Here is an 18,499-nt window from a genome sequence, read left to right as displayed (position 1 = left end):
GAACCCAGGAGGTGGAGGTTTCAGTGAGCTAAGATCACACCACTGCACTCCAGCCTGGGCAACAAGAGTGAAACTCCATCTCAACAAAACAAAACAAAACAAAACAAACAAACAAAAACCAAAAATAAAAATTATAATAAAATAAAATTATTTTGTAGAGACAGGGTCTTACTATGTTGCCCAGGCTGGTCTCAAACTCCTGGCCTCAATTGATCCTTCTGCTGCCTCAGCCTCCCAAAGTGCTGGGATTGCAGGCTTGAGACATTGTGCCTGGCCCTTCATTGCTTTTTAATAAACTTAATTACCTTCATTTGAATACCTTTAGAACTACATTGGTTTTGTATTTCGAGGCTAGAGTTGATTTCCATAAATAGTCATTTTGAGCCAGGTCTTTTGAATAAAGTGAGTGGTCAGAGATGATGCCACAACTTTGGCTAAAACAGTTTCCCAGAGAGCACGCTGTGAACTCTAAAATACTGTGTGCTGGTCACCATACCACAGTTCACTCTTCTTGCAAACTCAGTATTGCAAATTAATAAAACTTTTTAATTCAATTTATTTTATTTTTTTTAGACAGAGTCTCACTCTGTCACACAGGCTGGAGTGCAGCAGTGTGATCTTGGCTCACTGCAACTTCCGCCTCCTGGGTTCAAGCAATTCTCCTGCCTAAGCCTCCCATCTGGCTGGGATTACAGACATGTGCCACCACGTCTGGCTAATTTTTGTATTTTTTTTTGAGATAGAGTCTTGCTCTGTTGCCCAGGCTGGAGTACAGTGGTGCGATCTCGGCTCACTGCCACCACCGTCTCCCAGGTTCAAGCGATTCTTATACCTCAGCCTCCCGAGTAGCTGGGATTACAGGTGTGTGCCACCATGCCCAGCTAATTTTTGTATTTTTAGTAGAGATGGGGTTTCACCATTTGGCCAGGCTGGTCTTGCACTCCTGGTCTCACGTGATCCTCCAACCTCGGACTCCCAAAGTGCTGGGATCACAGGCGTGAGCCACCGTGCCTGGCCAATACCCTCCTCTTACGTCTGGATTAGACCTGCTGGCTTGCTTCTTTTTTTTATGAGACAAGGTCTTGCTTTGTCCTCCAGGCTGGAGTGCAGTAATGCAATAGTTCATTGCAGCCTCCTGAGCTCAAGAGATCCTCCTGCCTCAGCCTCCTGAGTAACTGAGACCACAGACACATGCCACCACTCTCACCTAATTTTCTGTAGAGGCAGGGTCTCACTATGTTGCCTAGGCTGGTCTTGAACTTCTGGCCTCAAGTAATCTTCTCACTTCAGCCTTCCAAAGGGCTGGGATTACAGGTGTGAGCCACTGTGCCCAGCAAGAAATAAGAAGGTTTAATTTATTGGTGTGAGCTGTCCGGTTGGCTGTGCAGAGAGCCGCTGATGTGAGTGGATTCAGGGCCAGGGTGAGAAGCCGTGATCCTTATGAGCTTCTCTGCACCTCCACCTTTTGGAAAAGGGCAGGGTCCCCACAGTCAGACTCCCCACCAGCTCTTGGTAGGCCCTGACTCAACAACCTTCTGATTTGTTGTCATTGTGTTTCCTGGCATGTGGCACTAAGCACTATTTTTTTTTTTTTTGAGTCAGGGTCTCACTCTGTTGCCTGGACTGGAGTGCAGTTGTGCAATCTCAGCTCACTGCAACCTTGACCTTCCAGGCTCAAGCAATCCTTCTGCCTCAGCCTCCAAAGTAGCTGGGATCACAGACACCTGCCACTACACCTGGCTAATTTTTGTATTATTATTATTATTTTTAGAGATACTGGGTATCCCTATGTTGCCCAGGCTGTCTTGAACTCCCGGGCGATCCTCCCACCTCAGCCTCCCAAAGTGCTGAAGTTACAAATGTGAGTCATCACAACCCGGACAGAGTTTTTTAAAAACCAACTTGAGATTTTATTTCAAAATTTAAACAAGATTTTAAAATGTTTAAATTAGGCTGAGTGCAGTGGCTCATGCCTATAATCCTAGCAATTTGAGAGGACAAGGCAGGAGGATTACCTGAGGTCAGGAGTTCGAGATCAACCTGGCCAACATGGTGAAACTCTGTCTCTACTAAAACTACAGAAATGATCTGGGTGTTGTGGCACACGCCTGTAATCCCAGCTACTCGGGAGGCTGAGGCAGGAGAATCGCTTGAACCCAGGAGACAGAAGTTGCTGTGAGCTAAGATTGTGCCACTGCACTCCAGCCTGGATGACAGAGAGGGACTCTGTGTAAAAAAAAAAAAAAAAAAAAAAAAAAAAAAAAAACTAATAATAAATAAACAAACTAATTAAATGTTTAAATTATTTTCTTAGCTGGGCATAGTGGTGTACACCTGTGGTTCTGGCTACTTGGGGCACTGTGGTAGGAGGATGGCTTGAGCCTGGGAGGTAGAGGCTGCAGTGAGCTATGATCATACCACTACACTCCAGCCTGGGTGACAGAGCAAGAACTTGTCTCAAGAAAAATTATTTTCCTCTGAGTCTCAGGTATTCTAACAAGGCTTGGCAGCCCCCATTTTGTGGCAAGGGCCTGGCAAACAGGTTCCGTGTGTATCATTGAGGTCGTTGTGGAGTAACATTTCCTCGGGCTGCATCAGCCTGTGGGTGAAAGTAAAGTTGGGTGCGGTGGCTCTCCCCTGGATTCCTTGATGCTTTTAATACCCTGAGTCCTCCACCCCACTCTGAGCCACATTGACACTTGTGCACCAAGGTGTGTGGTGTGGCCCCAGTGCCCACAGGATCACTTGTGAGAACTGCTCCTTCAGCCCCACCTGTGGCCTCTCCTTCTCCAGGGTGAAGTCTGGTTCCTGATGTTCATGCCATGCCCCTTCTCACCAGGGTGCATGGGCATCACTGCCTCCAAAACACCTGATTGAAACCTGTTCCTGGTGGGGCCACCTCACCTGTCCAGGATGGCTTTCTCTGAAGCCAGTTCTCCCACCACAGAGGGAAGTAAAGAAAATTTTGAAAACTAACAGGGCACAGTGGCTCACGCCTGTAATCCCAGCACATTGGAAGGCTGAGGGGGGCAGATCACTCAAGATCAGGAGTTCGAGACCAGCCTGGCCAACATGGCAAAACCCAATCTCTACTAAAAATACAAAATATTAGCCAGGCATAGTGGTGTGCGCCTGTAGTCCCAGCTACTCAGGAGGCTGAGGCAGGAGAATGGCGAGAACCCGGGAGATGGGTTCTGAGCAGCCATGAAGAGTAGGAAGATAACTCCACCTACCTCTCGCTGGGTCTATGGGGAAAACATTGATTAAAGCAGACCAGGTCTTCAGAGAGAGACTAGGTTTGATGAGTAAGAGATTCAAAAAGCTAGAAGGAAAGGAGGATGTTTAAGTTACTCTTACTGCATAATATATAACCCCAAAACTTTAGGTGCTTAAAATAGCAACCTTGCTGGGCACAGTGGCTCACACCTGTAATCTCAGCACTTTGGGAGGCCGAGGCAGGTGGATCACCTGAGGTCGGGAGTTCGAAACCAGCCTGACCAACATGAAGACATCCTGTCTCTATTAAAAATACAAAATTAGCCGGGCATGGTGGCAGACGCCTGTAATTGCAGCTACTCAGGAGGCTGAGGCAGGAGAATCACTTGAACCTTGGAGGCAGAGATTGCCATGAGCCGAGATCACACCATTGCACCCCAACCTGGACAACAAGAGTGAAACTCATTTTTTTTTTTTAAAAAAAAAAAGGCCAGGCACGGTGGCTCACGCCTGTAATCCCAGCACTTTGGGAGGGCGAGGCGGGCAGATCACGAGGTCAGATCGAAACCATCCTGGCTAACACGGTGAAACCCTGTCTCTACTAGAACTACAAATTTAGCTGGGTAGTGGTCGGCTCCTGTAGTCCCAGCTACTCAGGAGGCTGAGGCAGGAGAATGGCAAGAACCTGGGAGGTGGAGCTTGCAGTGAGCCCAGATTGCGCCACTGCACTCCAGCCTGGGGGACAGAGAAAGACTCCCTCTCAAAAAAAAAAAAAGTTTTTTTTTTCATGGTTCTGGGAGTTGATGGGTTCAGGTAGGTGATTGTCAGTAGGGGTCTCTCATGCTGTCGTAGTGGCTGGGCTGGAGTCTTCGCAAAGCCTTCTTCAGTCCCATGTGTGGAAACTGATGTTGGCTGTCATCTGAAACCTGTGCTGGGACTGTTGATTGGAACATCAAAATGTGGCCTCTCCCTGTCATCTGGGCTTCCTCACAGCATGGTGGCTGGGTTCAAAGAGCAAGCATCCCAGGAGGACCACGGAGAAATGGTGTCCCCTTTCATGACCTACCTTGAATCACTTCTGCCAGTCACAGACCTTCTTGAATTCAAGGGGAGGGAGCACAGACCCGACCTCACCATGGGAGCAATGTTAAGGTCATGCTGCAGAACAGCATGTGCTATTATTATTATTATTATTATTAGGGAGTCTTGCTCTGTCATGCAGGCTGGAGTGTAGTGGTGCAATGTCGACTCATTGCAACTTCTGCCTCCTGGGTTCAAGTGATTCTTCTGCCTCAGCCTCCTGAGTAGCTGGGATTACAGGCGCCTGCTACCACACCCAGCTAAATTTTGTACTTTTAGTAGAGACGGAGTTTCACCATGTTGGCCAGGCTGGTCTCAAACTCCTGACCTCAAGTGATCCACCTGCCTCTGCCTCCCAAAGTGCAGGGATTACAGGTGTGAGCCACCGCACCCAGCACATGCTATTAGTAAAAAGTCAGAAAACAGTCAGGTGTGGTGATTTGCACCTATAATTCTGCACTTTGGGAGGCCGAGGTGGGCAGATCACTTGAGGTCAGGAGTTTGAGACCCGCCTAGGCAACATCAGACCCGCATATCTATAAAAATAAAAAATAAATATAAAATTAAAAGTCAGAAAACCAAAGATATTGATGAGGATGCAGAGAAAAGGGAATGCTTATACACTGTTGGTGGGAATGTAAATTATTACAACCCTTGCAGAAAACATTATGGAGATTTCTCAAAGAAATAAAAACAGAACTGCCGTTCAAACAGCAATCTCACTACTGGATATCTTCCCAAAGGTGGCTCACACCTGTAATCCCAGCACTTTGGGAGGCTGAGTTGGGCAGATCATGAGGTCAGGAGTTCGAGACCAGCCTGGCCAACATAGTGAAACACCATTTCTACGAAAAATACAAAAAATTTAGCTAGGCGTGATGGTGGTAGGTGCCTGTAATCCCAGCTACTCGGGAGGCTGAGGTAGGAGACTCTGTTGAACCTGGGAAGCAAAGGTTGCAGTGAGCCGAGATCGTGCCATTGCACTCCAGTCTGGGCGACAAGAGCAAAACTCCATCTCAAAAAAAAAAAAATTGAGTAAATGGGTTATTTCCCCAAGATTGCCTTTTTAAAGAAAACCAGTTTTATAAACCTGTTTTCTAGAAAATCAGTTCTGTAAACCAATATTCATCAGGCTTATCATGTGGCTTTTTAGATTTTGAATTATTTTTTTGTGAGGATTTTTATTAGTATGTTTCCTAATAATGGGCCATGTTTAAATTTTTTTGTTATATTTTTGAAGTATGCCTTACTTGATCATGTTGTGATATAATTATAACATATGCTGCTTTCTCTTTGCTTGGATTTTAAAATTTTGCAGTTAAAATTATTTTCTTTTTTGTGTGCTTTGTCAGGTTTCCACATCAGTGTTACACTAGTATTTTAATGGCTTATTTTATTCTATTCTTTTATTTTCAAATTTTCTATATCCTTAAGCTTAAAAATGTCTCTTTTAAACAGTATATAATTTAGGTTTTTTATTATTAGGTTTTATAATTTTTGTATTTTAATTGGAGCATTTAGTTTGTATAATATAGTTAATATACTCTTTGCTTTCTATTTTCATCAAAAATTTGAATAGAATAAAAAGCTGACCTCCCCCAAGCAAGAGGGAATTCTCTGGCAGATTGCCTTTGGACTTGAATTACAACTCTTTCCTGAATCTCCAGCCTGCTAGCCTCTTCTATTATGAGTCAATTCCTTAAAATAAATCTGTATGATATATATTTAATATAATTAATATATAATGTGGCTGCTACCTAGTAGAATTAATATATGCTTAATATGACATATAATATAATTACAGTAGTACCCCCTTATCTGGGGGAAGGATTATGTTCCAAGACCCTCAGTGGATGCCTGAAACCACAGATGTATTTTTCTCTATACATACATAGCTGCGATAAAGTTTAATATATAAATTAGGCACAGTAAAAAATTAACAGGAATAACAAATAATACAATAATTATAATAATATGCCAGCATGTTTCTTTTTCTCTTTTTTCTTGCCTTTTGGATTGATAGACTTTTTTACCATCCTAGCTTTTTCCTCTCTTGCCAAGTTACAGATCCTGTTCTTTTAACGGTTACCCTACAGATTACAACACATAGCTTTCATATATTTTGGGTGTTAAAACAGCTGGTGATCCCAGAAGGTGGAAGAACTTGGAGATAATTGGGACATGAAATGATCTACAGCAGTTGGTATTCTAATCTCTCTTTTCTTCATAGTTCTTCTTTTCTTGCTTCCATTTTTCACATCTTGAATTTTTCTCTTCAAGGAAATGATATATTTCTTTTCAGTGCAAACCCAGTGTTTGCTCTTGATTTTGAGCTTTCTTTTGTCTCTCAAGACGTACAAAGCAGCTGCCAACTATTCCATGGTTTCCCAGCTGGAGGAGCCCTGCCCTGCACCCTTGCAGCAGCCCTGAAGCAGACAACCCAGGGAGCACCCGCTGGGGCACCCCCGGCTGGCACCAGCATACAAAGTGGTCAGAAATGTGCTGTTAGCCCTCAATGGGGCTGCTTAATAAATCACAGTTATACTTCCCTCTTTGGTCCAAAAGTTTTGAGAGAGAGAGAGAGCACGAGCATACGTGTGTGTCCTTCACAGGACACCATATGAAAGTAAAAAGGCAACCCATAAAATGGGAGAAAATATTTGCAAATTACATTTCTGATAAGACACATCTGTTAAACTCTTACAAGTTAATAATTTTATTTAAAAAATGACCCAAGTAAAACAGTTAGCAAAGGGTCTGAATGAACATTTTGCCAAGGCAGATAAACATACGGCCAATAAGCACATGAAACGATGCTCAGCACCATTTGCCATCAGGGACATGAAAATCAAAACCACAATGAGATACCATGCCACACCTACCAGAGTGGCTGAAATTTAAAAAGACAGCCAGAACAAGTGTTGGCAAAGATGTGGAAAAATCTTTGGTCGTGGTGGAAAAGAGATTTATTTTGCTGGTAGAAACCGCTAATGGAAAAGGTTAAGCATAGAGTTACAATTTTTTTTTTTTTTTGGGCACAGGGCCTGGCTCTTCACCTAGGCTGGAGCACAGTGGCACGATCTCAGCTCACAGCAACCTCTGCCACCCACACTCAAACAATCCTCCCACCAGAGCCTCCCACCTCACCATTACCCTTGCAATGGAAAGAAAAAGCCTTATCAGATATACCTTATCAGATATATAATTTGCAAATATTTTCTACAGTAGCTATTTCTAGAGTGGCTGGGACTATAGGTGCCACCATACCCAGCTAATTTTTGTATTTTTTTTAGAGACACGGTCTCACTTTATTGCACAGGCTGGTCTGGGTATCCTGAGCTGAAACAATCTACCTGCCTCGGCCTCCCAAAGTGCTAGGATTACAGATGTGAGCCACCTTACCCAGAGAGGTAAGGGTAGTCATGCTTGCCAGACCTACAGAAATTTTTCTCTTGGTTTTGAATATACTCAAGATTGATTGGATAGGTGTACTGAAGTAAAAATGATATCATATTAGTTAATTTTAATTAGCTAGATGTTGGGACAGAAATGTGAAGGCCACATAGTCTGTCAACATTAAATTTTAAAAGAACTGAGCACTGAATGGAAGACAAGGACATCAAGGGAATACATGTTAATGCAACTTCTTTACAGGTGGAAATGTAATTCTCACATAGGAGACTCATTTATTATGTAGTTTTCATCTTGGCAAGGAAGACTGCTCTTTCTTTATCCACAATCGGTAATTTCTAAATCTTTCCTAGCCTAGGGCATGGAGGCCAAATACTACTGTGGGTCAAGTGGGTCCATCTTTTTCTTAGGTGACTGTATCACATATGCCTGAAATATAATTTTAAATATGAGATAATAATATCACCTCCTGCCTAGCTATGACTACAGGCAGTCTAGCACCAAAGGAGGTCAGAAGTTCCCTCTTTATATTTAGTCCATCTTTCTGTTCAACGCATTTGTAGATTGAGTGGTTTTTGTATTACGAATCAGGTTTATTCTCTCCCAAGGCAGGAAGTTTTCAATTATTACATTTTTTAATACACAGCAGGTGGATTTTGTCTGAAAGATGGTTTTATGCCAGGATATCGTTATTTGTTTCACTATTGAGCTACGGAACCTTAGAATTATTTTAAATATTGGGAAGGTATAACCTGTCTCCCATGAAAGACCTTTGTAGTGGTAAATTTGTCAACCTTGATAATTTTACTCAAACTTTTTTTCTTTTTTTTTTTGAGATGGAGTCTCACTCTTGTCACCCAGGTTGGAGTGCAATGGCATGATCTCAGCTCACTGCAACCTCCACCTCCCAGGTTCAAGCAATTCTCCTGCCTCAGCCTCCCAAGTAGCTGGGACTACAGGCGCCCACCACCACGCCCGGCTAATTTTTGTATTTTTAGTAGAGACAGGGTTTCACCACCTTGGCCAGGCTGCTCTCGAACTCCTGACCTCAGGTGATCCACCTGCTTCGGCCTCCCAAAGTGGGCTGGGATTACAGGCGTGAGCCACCGTGCCCGGCCCAAACTTTGTGAAGAAAAAAAAAAAACACCCACATTTTAAGTAATAATTTTTATGTATTTGTATCTAGGTCTTGGGGGGGTTTTTTTGGTCTATTTTATTATATAGGAGTGAGAATTTAAAGCAGTGGCTAGGGTTCTGAAGTCTGTGGGTCAAATTTTTAGCAGGGAAGGGGGATGTTGAATGGGTTCACTGACTTGCCAAACTTTCTGAAATATAATTGAGATTTTTATCATGTCTTTATATTCTGGAGACAGATTACATATTTAGAATCTCAAAGAGGTTATCTACCTAAAATATTGAAAATTGTAGGTACAAAGTACTTTATATAATTAAAAGTGTGCATCATCATTTATAGTGATTACTGTGCTGAAAATAATGTATTAATTTTAAATTTTGAAACAATTCTAAACAAAAGTTACAAGTACAGTATATAACCTTTTTAAAGATATTTGAGATGGATGCTTCTCTTTTGTCCCTCTAAATACCTTAGTATATTTCTCTTCTTTAAGGATATTCTCCTATATAGCCATAATATACCATCAATATCAGAAAGTAACAAATGTATGTTATACACACACAGACACACACATTTATATATATGTTTTGTGTGTGTGTGTGTGTGTGTGTGTGTGTTGAAAAATATAAGTGTACACTTCAATCTCCAATTTCAGTCCATCATTAGAGGGGCCCTAATTTTCATCCCTCCCATATTTGTATTGTCTTTCTGATGGTGAGATACCATTATCCTCCATATGTGTACCTATTTGATCAATTCTCGAGTAATTAATCCATCACCTCCTTTAGGTTCTTCCCTTTCTTCTCTGAAAAATATCAGGGAAGAACCTGAGGGAGGTGATGGATTAGTTAATTGCAGGGGGATTAGTGTAATTAAGGGGGAGGCAGTGGCCCTGCTTACCTCTCTTGTGCTGTGATGTCTCATGCCAGGCCATTCTTCTCATATGGATGCCCCCTCATCCTTTTTAACTCAGACATCTCATGCTAGTCCATTCTTCTCACGCCCTATTAGAAACGTTTCCTCATTCTGCAGGCTGTAATACCCTGTTCTGGGCCACTGTGGTTTTCTCTCCAGCATGGACACCTACCTTTCTCAGTCTCACGTAATGACTTTTGGACTGAATTTTTAGGAAGAAATGTGGAAAAGAAAGAGCCGAAGTAATTTTGAAGTGTTTAAAACACAATATTTAACTGTACCATAGAATTAATTGATATGTGAATAGAATAGATTTTTGATGCCTAAAAATGTAGAAACATTAGTAAAATTGTAATTTTGGACTGCCATAGAAAAAAGTAATGGAGATAAAAAGCTCTGAAAAAACTTAGCTTGGAAATTAAAATTATCTGCCTATGCGTACAAGTGTTACAGAGTTTTCATTGATAATATTTATATATATTTTGATAAACTAAGTAGGATGTCCCCCAAACTTACTAACAGTTGAAACAAATAGGCTGATATTTAGAAGGAAGAAAGTTTTAGACTTTGGGGCTTCTGTTTCTTGCACTGCCCAGAATTCTTTAAGTAAGCAGATGATAAATACGAGCTAATTGTGCATATCAAAGAATCAAATGTGAAGATTTGTAGTTCATTCTTAACTAACTCAAGTTTTTAATGATAGAATGCTATAAATTGTTTATTATGTTACAGATGGAAATAATTACAACAATAACATAAAGGATGAGCTCTTCCATAGCATGCTTGTCCTGGTTCAGAGGATAAATTTTAACTGAATGATTAGTAATTAACTTTATGTACATCAGCAGTGTAAGTGCTAAGAATTACTGATCAAGCAGATGACATGAAAATGAAAATGATTACTTCTACCCTCAAAGGAATTTCCAGGAAAATGCACACTGCTAATTATGTTTAATTGCATAAATGCTGTAGTAATGTACATTTAAAGTGCCATGTAAATAGTCAGGAGTTTTTATTTGGATTTATGTGCTAACTTTATTAGTCTGATAGGATTGATTAGAATCTTGAAACAAGTAACTCACTATTGTGTATAAATTTGGAATTTACAGTTTATTTTGGCAATTTTGTAAAAGAACTTATTTTATTCATGTTTTTGACTTATGTTTTTGTCACACCATGAAAATAAGCCTTCTGTATTTAAACTAACTTTATATCTACTGTATAATACTCAGTGCCGCAGCTGTCACACTGAAAAGAATATCATACTTAGTCTAGTTTAAAACTTCAATTTCTATCACAAACAAGCTATATGACCCTGGACAGATCACTTTGAATCTCACTTTCCTTTTCTTTTTTTTTCTTTTTTGGAGATGGAGTCTGTCTGTGTCGCCCAGGCTGGAGTGCAGTGGCGTGATCTCCGCTCACTGCAAGCTCCGCCTCCCAGGTTCAGGGCATTCTCTTGCCTCCGCCTCCCAAGTAGCTGGGACTATAGGCGCCCGCCACTACGCCCGCCTAATTTTTTTTTTTTTTTTTGTATTTTTAGTACAGATGGGGTTTCACCGTGTTAGCCAGGATAGTCTCCTTCTCCTGACCTCGTGATCCGCCCACCTCGCCCTCCCAAAGTGCTGGGATTACAGGCATGAGCCACCGAGCCTGGCCGAATCTCTTTCCTTTTCTCAACAAATATTTACCTAGCCTTTTTTTTTTTTTTTTGAGATGGAGTCTCGGTTTGTTGCCCAGGCTAGAGGGCAATGGCATGATCTCGGCTCACTGCAACCTCCGCCCCCCTAGGTTCAAGCGATTCTCCTGCCTCAGCCTCTCAAGTAGCTGGGACTACAGGCGTGCACCACCACAACAGGCTAATTTCTGTATTTATAGTAGAGACAGGGTTTCGCCATGTTGGCCAGGCTGATCTTGAACTCCTGACTTCAAGTGATCCGCCCACCTTGGCTGGGATTACAAGCATGAGCCATCGCTCCGAGCCTTACCTAGTCTTTTCTAAGCCAAACACTGCACTTTGATTACAAAAAAGTAAAAGAAGGCCAGGCTCATTCATGTATGTAATTCCAGCACTTTGGAAGGCCCAGGTAGGAGGATTACTTGAGCCTAGGAGTTCGAGATGAGCCTTGGCAACAGAGTGAAACCCCATTTCTAAAAAAATATTAAAAATAAAAATAAAACACTTTGGGAGGCCGAGGCAGGCAGATCACGAGGTCAGGAGATGGAGACTATCCTGGCTAACACAGTGAAACCCCGTCTCTACTAAAATTACAAAAAAATTTGCCGGGCGTCGTGGCGGGCACCTGTAGTCCCAGCTACTCGAGAGGTTGAGGCAGGAGAATGGCGTGAACCCGACAGGCGGAGCTTGCATTGAGCAGAGATCCGCCGCTGCACTCCAGCCTGGGCGACAGAGAGAGACTCCGTCTCATAAATAAATAAATAAATAAATAAATAAATAAATAAGAGCTGTGGTAGGGTTCCCTAAGAACCTGTGGGTATGGGAAGGTGGTAGAGTGGAGATACTTACACAGGAATGCTGTGCACTATGAGTGACTACCCCTGCCTCACAGAGGGCTTGAGATAATTGTGTATATGAATGTACTTAGTATATATATTACATATGTAAAATACCTAGTAAATCTGTAAATTGTATAAATGTTAATTTTAAACATATTTTTATTTGTGCATTTTCATGACTTAGTTTTAAGATCCAAAAAGAGGAATGCAGAAAAGGGAAAGCAGGGATGGTAGTCAATGATGTACAATTAATAAGCTAAATATTTCATTAATCCTTACTTTGGACTTCTGTTTTGGTTGAACTCTTTTGGTTACAAAGATTTGGGGCAAATGTGTGCTCTTTGTAATTCAGTACAGATTGCTGGGCAAAGCTCTTTTCTGCTGAGAGTCAGATTTAAAAGATGGTTGATAACTTATTCTTTTCCTTTTTAAAACATGGTTTAGATGTGTAGCTTGGGTTCTTAAATTCTGTGCAGGTAAATATTGTGCTCAAGTTTTTTATGTCACATGACTATTTAGTCTGAAGGGTGCACTTGCTTTGTAGTTGCTGAATATTAATGCTACTCCTTGCAAACCTTTTGAGTATATTGCTTTCCCTTGACTGTGTCAGGTATTTAATATCAGTGATAGAAAGAATCTTAGGGATTGCTTTTATTAAAAGTTAATAAACTTTAAAAAAAGTTTTAGTTTGAAATTTTGAGCCTGATTTTTTATATGTGGATGTTTGCCTTTCTTGTTGAATCAACATGAATTATATATTTGTTTGAAATGTAGTTGGATATTTAGATAACTCCTGTTTTTTGATGTAACAGATATTCAGATATATGGCTTGAAATTTTCTTCCTATAAAAACTAGGACTTGTTACAAAATGTTTTTTGATTAGAAAAGTAATATGAGGCCGGGCACGGTGGTTCATGCCTGTAATCCCAGCACTTTGGGAGGCTGAGGCGGGCGGATCACGAGGTCAGGAGATCGAGACTATCCTGGCTAACACGGTGAAACCCCATCTCTACCAAAAATACAAAAAATTAGTCAGGCGAGGTGGCGGGCGCCTGTAGTCCCAGCTACTCGGGAGGCTGAGGCAGCAGAATGGCGTGAACCCCGGGGGCAGAGCCTGCAGTAAGCCAAGAGCGCGCCACTGCACTCCAGACTGGGCGACAGCGAGACTCCATCTCAAAAAAAAAAAAAAAAAAAAAAAAAAGGAATATGAAGGAGTATATGGCATTTTAAGAGGACATCACCATTGTTAAATTTTGTTATATTTTCTGCATCTTAGGCATAGTTGTAATAGCATATTCATTTTGTATACTTTCTTCATCTAATGCTATGGCAAGCATTTCTGTGTGTCAGAACTTTAAAAACTAATTTTCAACGGCTGAATAATATTTTTATAGGTGTATCATCATAAGCTTAGCCTACCTCCCATTGTTGCACCTGGAAAGTCTCCCCCTGCCACCACACACACACTTCTTTATTGTTAAAATAGTACTGCAGTATTTTTCTCTGTGTGTTTCATTCCTAGAAGTAGATGGCATGGTAAAGGATGTTAACTGAAAATGTCATACCAACTAATACAGTTTCTATAGTGTGTGAATGCCCATATGTATCTCATCCTTGCCAGTATTGAGTGGAAATCTCTTTTATTTTCCTGGAGAAGTTGGTTCTTTAGGAGGAGAGAAGCACTGGGGAGTATCTTCAGGGTGGCTGAACTTTGAAACCTCTTCAATAAATAACTTCCCACTCTGTAATTTGCCCACCTGTATTACCCCACCCCCAAGCCTCAGACTTTAGGAAATGGCATCAGGCCTATACGTCTGGAGAGTTCAGAGTTCTTTGAGGTAAATCATTCCTTCCAATGGGACCTAGAATTCCTTGAGTTGCAGAATTTTACTGACTAGACCCAGGAGGTCTCAGGAGTCCAGAGTTGATTGGAGCTTGGCTCAGAATTCCAAGGGGGCCTGTAACTCCATGAGGCCCAGATTTCCTGGCTCAGGAAAATTGGGAGGCCTGGGATACTGTGGCTTAGACCCAAGCTGAAAGATGAACACAGATCTTTATGGCTTGAAGGTGTATGAAATTATGTCACTACATTAGAGCAGCACCTCTACTCACCTATGGGAATCTGCAGCTGAGCTGTGACACGTAGAAGCTGGCCATGTCCAGATTGGTGGTTCTGAAATGGGCAGCCATGTGCACATAGTTGTACAATGTGAATGAAGCTCACTTGTTGATACTCCATGGCCAGCATGCTGTGGAGGTAACGTTCCCGAAGGGCAGCTCGAGCCCACTGCTCCTGGGATTCCTGCGATTCTTGAGTATGGGACACTCTTGGATTTCAGGAACCTCTGGCTTCAACTGCCCCAGCATCCATCGGGGCAAAGCCAAGGCTGAGGCCATCAGGGCCCCAGGGTAACTGGAGCATGGGCACAGGAATAGTCAGTGGAGTCTGCATTGTCTTGGCGAGGTCTGCAGCTGCTCGGAAATCTCTTTTAAATGTCAAATTTGGTATTTACTAATTCAGTATTAGACCAAGATATTACATTTTAATTTATGTGCCTTTGATTACTTATTTGAAATTTTAAAAAAAGTACTGTTCTTTATTCTGAAATTTTGTACTTGCAACTTTTTTAGTGTCAGAAGTCTTCTTTTCAAAACTTTTTTTGCCTAGCTTTTTATTAAGTATAGTCACAACACTAATGACAGTTTCATTGTTATATTTCTTGTGAATGTTGTAACTTAAAAATAAATGAGTGCAGTACTCATTTATTTTTAAAGAAATATCAGTGAGATGCTACCTGACTTCAAACTATACTACAAGGCTACAGTAAACAAAACAGCATGGTACTGGTACCAAAACAGAGATATAGACCAATGGAACAGAACAGAGCCCTCAGAAGTAATGCTGCATATCTACAACCCTCTGATCTTTGACAAACCTGATAAAAACAAGAAATGGGGAAAGGATTCCCTATTTAATAAATGGTGCTGGGAAAACTGGCTAGCCATAGGTAGAAAGCTGAAACTGGATCCCTTCCTTAAACCTTATACAAAAATTAATTCAAGATGGATTAAAGACTTAAATGTTAGACCTAAAACCATAAAAACCCTAGAAGAAAACCTAGGCAATACCATTCAGGACATAGGCATGTGCAAGGACTTCATGTCTAAAACACCAAAAGCAATGGCAACAAAAGCCAAAATTGACAAATGGGATCTAATTAAACTAAAGAGCTTCTTCCAAGTCTTTGCTATTGTGAATAATGCCACAATAAACACACGTGTGCATGTGTCTTTATAGCAGCATGATTTATAGTCATTTGGGTATATACCCAGTAATGGGATGGCTGGGTCAAATGGTATTTCTAGTTCTAGATCCCTGAGGAATCACCACACTGACTTCCACAATGGTTGAACTAGTTTACAGTCCCACCAACAGTGGAAAAGTGTTCCTGTTTCTCCACATCCTCTCCAGCACCTGTTGTTTCCTGACTTTTTAATGATTGCCATTCTAACTGGTGTGAGATGATATCTCATAGTGGTTTTGATTTGCATTTCTCTGATGGCCAGTGATGATGAGCATTTTTTCATGTGTTTTTTGGCTGCATAAATGTCTTCTTTTGAGAAGTGTCTGTTCATGTCCCTCGCCCACTTTTTGATGGGGTTGTTTGTTTTTTTCTTGTAAATTTGTTTGAGTTCATTGTAGATTCTGGATATTAGCCCTTTGTCAGATGAGTAGGTTGCAAAAATTTTCTCCCATGTTGTAGGTTGCCTGTTCACTCTGATGGTAGTTTCTTTTGCTGTGCAGAAGCTCTTTAGTTTAATTAGATCCCATTTGTCAATTTTGGCTTTGGTTGCCATTGCTTTTGGTGTTTTGGACATGAAGTCCTTGCACATGCCTATGTCCTGAATGGTAATGCCTAGGTTTTCTTCTAGGGTTTTTATGGTTTTAGGTCTAACGTTTAAATCTTTAATCCATCTTGAATTGATTTTTGTATAAGGTGTAAGGAAGGGATCCAGTTTCAGCTTTCTACATATGGCTAGCCAGTTTTCCCAGCACCATTTATTAAATAGGGAATCCTTTCCCCATTGCTTGTTTTTCTCAGGTTTGTCAAAGATCAGATAGTTGTAGGTATGCGGCGTTATTTCTGAGGGCTCTGTTCTGTTCCATTGATCTATATCTCTGTTTTGGTACCAGTACCATGCTGTTTCCCTTATTCATCCAAAAAAAACATTTTTTCAGGTATCTGCTATGCTGCCTGTTTTTATATAACTATGGTGTTTTGGATAATAACACATTATTTCAGCCCTTCTGAATACAACTCAACTAGTCATCTTGATGTGGTGCATTTAGATCATACATGAGTCACCTGCTTCTCATGCTCACACTGGCTAAAATGTCAGTACCCTCAGTGAATGCGTGAGATTAAATTAGTAAAATGCAAATAGTATTGTAGAAATACACATGGTTTTCACTAAGTTATTAGTCTTTTTAAATGAGGCCTGTCATTATGTCATCAGATCTAAAACTCATCTAATGTCTGAATAGTGGGTTTCTATGAAGCATGGTTATGTTTATTCCCTAATGATTTTACATCTGGTCTGGCCAAATGCAATATTCTAAAGTTTATCTTGTACTAATTGCTCTAATGATCTCTAGCTTGCATTTTCTGGAAAACAGAAACTATCTAAAATTAGATTGTGATTATTAAATAAATCTGGTTCAAATAAGGAAAAAAAAAAGAGCTTCTGCACAGCAAAAGAAACTACCATCAGAGTGAACAGGCAACCTACAGAATGGGAGAAAATTTTTGCAATCTACTCATCTGACAAAGGGCTAATATCCAGAATCTACAATGAACTCAAACAAATTTACAAGAAAAAACCATACAACACCATCAACAAGTGGGTGAAGGATATGAACAGACACTTCTGAAAAGAAGATATTTATGCAGCCAACAGACACATGAAAAAATGTTCGTCATCACTGGCCATCAGAGAAATGCAAATCAAAACCACAATGAGATACCACCTCACACCAGTTAGAATGGCAGTCATTAAAAAGTCAGGAAACAACAGGTGCTGGAGAGGATGTGGAGAAATAGGCACACTTTTCCACTGTTGGTGGGACTGTAAACTAGTTCAACCATTGTGGAAGTCAGTGTGACGATTCCTCAGGGATCTAGAACTAGAAATACCATTTGACGCCGCCATCCCATTACTGGGTATATACCCAAAGGATTATAAATCATGCTGCTATAAAGACACATACACACGTATGTTTATTGCAGCACTATTCACAATAACAAAGACTTGGAACCAAGCCAAATGTCCAACAATGATAGACTGGATTAAGAAAATGTGACACATATACACCATGGAATACTATGCAGCCATAAAAAATGATGAGTTCATGCCCTTTGTAGGGACATGGATGAAGCTTGAAACCATCATTCTCAGCAAATTATCACAAGGACAAAAAACCAAACACCGCATATTCTCACTCATAGGTGGGAATTGAACAATGAGAACACATGGACACAGGAAGGGGAACATCACACACCGGGGCCTGTCGTGGGGTCGGGGGAGGGATAGCATTAGGAGATATACCTAATGTTAATGACGAGTTAATGGGTGCAGCACACCAACATGGCACATGTATACATATGTAACTAACCTGCACGTTGTGCACATGTACCCTAAAACTTAAAGTATAATAATAATAAAAAAAGAAATATCAGTGAGATATAATTCACATAATCACTGGCATGATTCATATAGTTCACCCCTGGTCCTTAGGGGATATATTTTGGTATATGAGATTTATAGAAAGTAAGAACTTAAAAGAATCTATAGGTTATCTAATTCAAACAGTTAAAACCTACCCACTTCTGCTTTGAAAGCCACTTCTTAGAACTTGCATTGTCTTGGCAAGGTCCGCAGCTGCTCAGAAATCTCTTTTAAATGTCAAATTTGGTATTTACTAATTCAGTATTAGACCAAGATATTACATTTTAATTTATGTGCCTTTGATTACTTATTTGAAATTTTAAAAAAAGTACTGTTCTTTATTCTGAAATTTTGTACTTGCAACTTTTTTAGTGTCAGAAGTCTTCTTTTCAAAACTTTTTTTGCCTAGCTTTTTATTAAGTATAGTCACAACACTAATGACAGTTTCATTGTTATATTTCTTGTGAATGTTGTAACTTAAAAATAAATGAGTGCAG

At 40.7% G+C, this 18,499-nt stretch overlaps 1 pseudogene; it reads right to left on the bottom strand.

Moving 5' to 3' along the window:
- Positions 1-14,329: 14,329 nt before the first annotated feature.
- Positions 14,330-14,727, bottom strand: LOC107986740 (gem-associated protein 7-like; annotated as a pseudogene).
- Positions 14,728-18,499: the final 3,772 nt, after the last annotated feature.

This window comes from Homo sapiens, chromosome 7 (genome assembly GCF_000001405.40).
Source record: "Homo sapiens chromosome 7, GRCh38.p14 Primary Assembly".
Lineage (NCBI taxonomy): Eukaryota > Metazoa > Chordata > Mammalia > Primates > Hominidae > Homo > Homo sapiens.
The sequence above is the reverse complement of the archived record's forward strand: the minus strand, read 5'-3'. Positions and strand labels throughout refer to the sequence as shown.